The 4,112-nt window shown below is 34.1% G+C and overlaps 1 annotated feature.

Moving 5' to 3' along the window:
* Positions 842–1,362: an enhancer, noted in NCBI's record as "NANOG hESC enhancer chr13:81432206-81432726 (GRCh37/hg19 assembly coordinates)". NCBI's record gives its function as "activates a minimal SCP1, AML or CMV promoter by ChIP-STARR-seq in naive H9 embryonic stem cells {active_cell/tissue: H9 hESC(naive)}" and the evidence as "EXISTENCE:reporter gene assay evidence [ECO:0000049][PMID:30033119]".

The raw sequence follows: 4,112 nt of genomic DNA on the forward strand, positions 1-4,112 counted from the left end.
GTAGACATAGTTTTCAACTCTCCTCCTCCTGTTTTTTGGCAGATTACTATATTGACATTTGTGGAAACTTGCTTTCTTCACTGATATTTGTCAATTTATCACACATCAAGGGATTTTTTCAGCATGCAATGGTACTGTAATTGAATTCAGTACATATTACTAAAAACACTTTTAAATAATTTTAAGGACTATTTCATCATTTGGTGCTTGGATAATTTTGAAACTGAAAAACACTTGGCAAATGCATTCACATTTGTTAAAATTGACCCCAACCCCATACATCCTTAACCAAGACTGAATAAATATTCCAAGTGTCTTCATAGCAGGTCATGGGGTCATTCCAATTGGAAAATAAGAGTTCAGATGCTATTTCTTTACCTAAGCTAATTGCAAACAAATGTTCCTTTTGTCAGAAAAAAAAAAGAAAAAGAAAAAAATTAAGCCCAGTGGGAAAGCTCTTTCTATGTTTGGTGCTAGTTTTTGGTAGCCTAGGTCATCCAAAGATCTCATTTTTCCTTTTGGTTCTCCTCAGTCAGGATTGCCTGGGCATAAATTTTTACTCCTAATCCAGCTTCTATTGTTTAATTTATCTTAAGCATATGTAAAATTAGCATTCATTTTTGGGTGCTAGGGATCATAATGCTCCTTATTATAGAATTTCCCATATCTGTTGGCCAGGAAGAAATAAACAAAGCAGGCCCAGAGCTCAAATTGCTAGCCTGATAGGCTTCTAGAAGGACCAAAATAAGAATGCAAAAGTCAGAGTGAGGAAAATACCGAGTATACTAATGGAACTGCCCACACAGAAAAGAAGCCACTCTGAAAAAGTTGAGTTGAGCCCTTAAGCTGTGTAAGGAAAAAGGCTCAACGCACTAAAGAAGGAAAACCCAATAAATGCAAAGAACAAGCTGTTTTACTCTTCATTTCATACTTGCGTTACCAAATGCCTATTCTGAGCTTGCTTTCTGTTTGAAAGACCTTGAGGGTTCAAACACTTTATTAATTGGTCAAGTTAAATCACTTGCCCACTGCCTTTGCTGTAACACCCACATTCTCAGCATAACCATTGGCCACCTGTACTCAGCATGTTCTCACACATGGCCATTAACTCTGAAAACTAACGCAAGCCAAACAAAGCCTAAGGAATAAATGGGTTGCCATAAGAAAACAATTAAAAAGTCACCTGTTGTGAAAAGACATATTTAATCAAACCTGAGCAAAGAGACCACCCAAGATTAAACAGAAGTTTTTCTACAAGTCTAGTATTTACAATACAGGTGCATGTTTGTGAATGAGTGATTGTGATGAAAATATATTTACTTGATTTGTTTGAACACTCAGAATAAATGTTCCTGATGTAATAAAAATTTACTTAGTTTGTTTTTTATAATACTATGGATCTATTTTTTCTTCTTTAAAAACTAAAAGTAGCTTACATTTTACACACATCTGATAATTAATGACATTAATGAGTAAAATATCTGATTGCTAATTAGATAACCCATTGTATTCATTCAGATTTGTGGGTATAAATTATGCTAAAATTTGAAAGATGAATTCTTTATCTACCTAAAAATAAACAATCATCAAGATACCTATATGTAATTTCCAAATCTTCTAATTGGTTATTTCTTTCTTCAAGATAGGTTTCTTCAAGCAGTTTTTTAGATTTACAACATAGACATTTTAAACACGTTAGAAAAAATAAAATTATTGCATCGTGTTTTAAATTTCTGTTACTAAAATTTAAATTTCTAAAATTAATGGAGGAAAGCATCCATCATATGATTCTACAAGAAGGACTAAAATATTATTTGTGTTAAATGTTTTAGGAAGAAAATAATCACACATTTTCACTCATACATGAAAATTCACATTAAAAAACAGAAGGTGCATTTGTTACTAAAAGAAGAGTAGATTTCTCATGTTTAGAAGTTGTAGGAGTAAAACTGTATGATGAAAACGGTAAATCATAATTGCCTCTATCCCAATAATCTCATTGGTATCTATTTTTAAATACCTTTTCTTTGAACAAATATTATGCCAAATTTGAATGTTTCACTTGAAATTTATAGAAACACAACTGAAAAAATATTTAGACCTGAGTTTCTATGTCCGTAGGTAGGGATAAATATTCTTTTGTTTAGAGTCAAGATGGTATGCAAAGTGACTAAGGACTTAGACAGCCAGGATCAAAACCTGTCTACAACTTGAACTATGTGACTGAAGGCCAATTTCTTAAACTGTGTCACATTTTGTTTATCTGTAAAGTGGGCAAATATTAGCAACTACCTGATAGACTTGTGAAATTATATTATTTAATGTAAGTCTAGTTGCCTCCTTAGAGCAGTAGGCAGTGTGTCAGTCTCATAATGTAAGTAAAGTGCTGGCATACATCAAATACGATTTGTTTATTATCAATAATGTTGCTATTGTGTCATATTTCACAGGTTTCTGATGATTTCAGGAGATAAAATATGTAAAATCTTCTTGTTCATTTAAAAGAAGTTCCTTATATAATTCATAATTAAATATTAAAAATGTGTTTTTATTATTTTGAATTTGAATTGGTTTTTCAAAAGCAAAATATAGCTGTAAACATAATGCTTAATGAATTATATTATACCAACTAATAAATTTACTACAAAAGAAATAGCAAGAGATGACAAATATTTGTTTGTGATTTATAATGTCACAAAAATGAAAATAAATGCAACAGAATAAATGCTTTATAGTTCTACCTCTATTATAGAGCCTTTTTTGGCTACTAGGGTCTTTCTGTTATTTTCCTCCACTTTATGTATATAAGACATGTATGGGCATAGTAACATAGTATAGCTATTCTACAGAGCTTAAACTCAGTATGTCCAGAACTGCCTTCATAAATGTTCTTTCTTTCTTTCTTTTTTAAAGAGACAGAGTCTTGCTCTGTTGCTCATGCTGCAAGGCAGTGGTGTGATCATAGCTAACTATAACGTTGAATCCCTGGACTCTAGAGATCCTCTCACCTGCTCCTCCCACAGCACTGGGATTACAGGTGTGAACCGCAGAAACTTGCAGGCCTTAAACTTTCTTCTTTCAAGTATATCTACCCGGGCATTGTTTAGACTAGATTTACCTGCTTCTAAAAATTGATATTCTTCAACAATTACTATTGATTTTCTTGTGTATGCCAGAGAGATTTCATTCTTCAATTCTTCACATCTACTCAATTACATGTACCTATGAATTCTACCCCCTAAACAGCTCTTGAAAATTATCTGTTATTTTCTTCTTCATGCTTTGGTTCAGGCCTTCATTATCCTTTGTACTGAACTATTATAATAATCATAGTTTTGAACTTGTTTTCTCAATCGTTGTTCTTGGCCTCTTAAATCTGCTTTCCACTTTGTCCCTTCCGTTCCCGTCCTTCTCCTTCCCTTTTCTTCCATCACCTTCCCACACTCCTACAATAAGAAACTGCTTGCCCTTCTTGGGAAGTGCCAGTAGCTTCTAAGACTTCATGCTTTTGGATTGTTTTCTCTGCCTAGCATATAGTTAGTTAGTTATTTTTAGAGACAGGGGTCTTCCAAGCTGGAGTGCAGTGGCACCATCATGGCTCACTGCGGCCTTGACCCCCTAGGCTCAAGGGATCCTCCCACCTTCCCTCCCAGTAGCTGGGACTACAGGCATACGTTACCACAACTGGCTAATTTTTATTTTTGTTATGTTTCTATGTTGCCCAGTCTGGTCTCAAACTCCTGGGCTCAAGTGATTCTCTTCCCTCACCCTCTCAAAGTGCTGGGATTACATGCATGAGCCACTGTGCCCAGCCCATGTTCCTCTTTCTTTAAACAATGAATTCCACTCATTATTCTTATATAAGCCAGATCAGCGTCATGCCCTTTGAGACTTCTCCTTTGACACCCTGGAATAAATGATTCCTTCTTCCTCTGTCACAAGACAGTGTCATATACTCCTACTGGAGGATTTACCACACTCAGCTGAAATTGTTTTTATTTTGCCACCATTGAACTAAAAGCTGTATTTGGTAGGTAATTAGAATTTTTGTTTGATTTTTAATATATGTTATCCCACTTTAATTTTTTCCAAACAGGAATTATTTTTTTAAT

The sequence above is a fragment of the Homo sapiens genome, chromosome 13 (assembly GCF_000001405.40).
Source record: "Homo sapiens chromosome 13, GRCh38.p14 Primary Assembly".
Classification (NCBI taxonomy): Eukaryota; Metazoa; Chordata; class Mammalia; order Primates; family Hominidae; genus Homo; species Homo sapiens.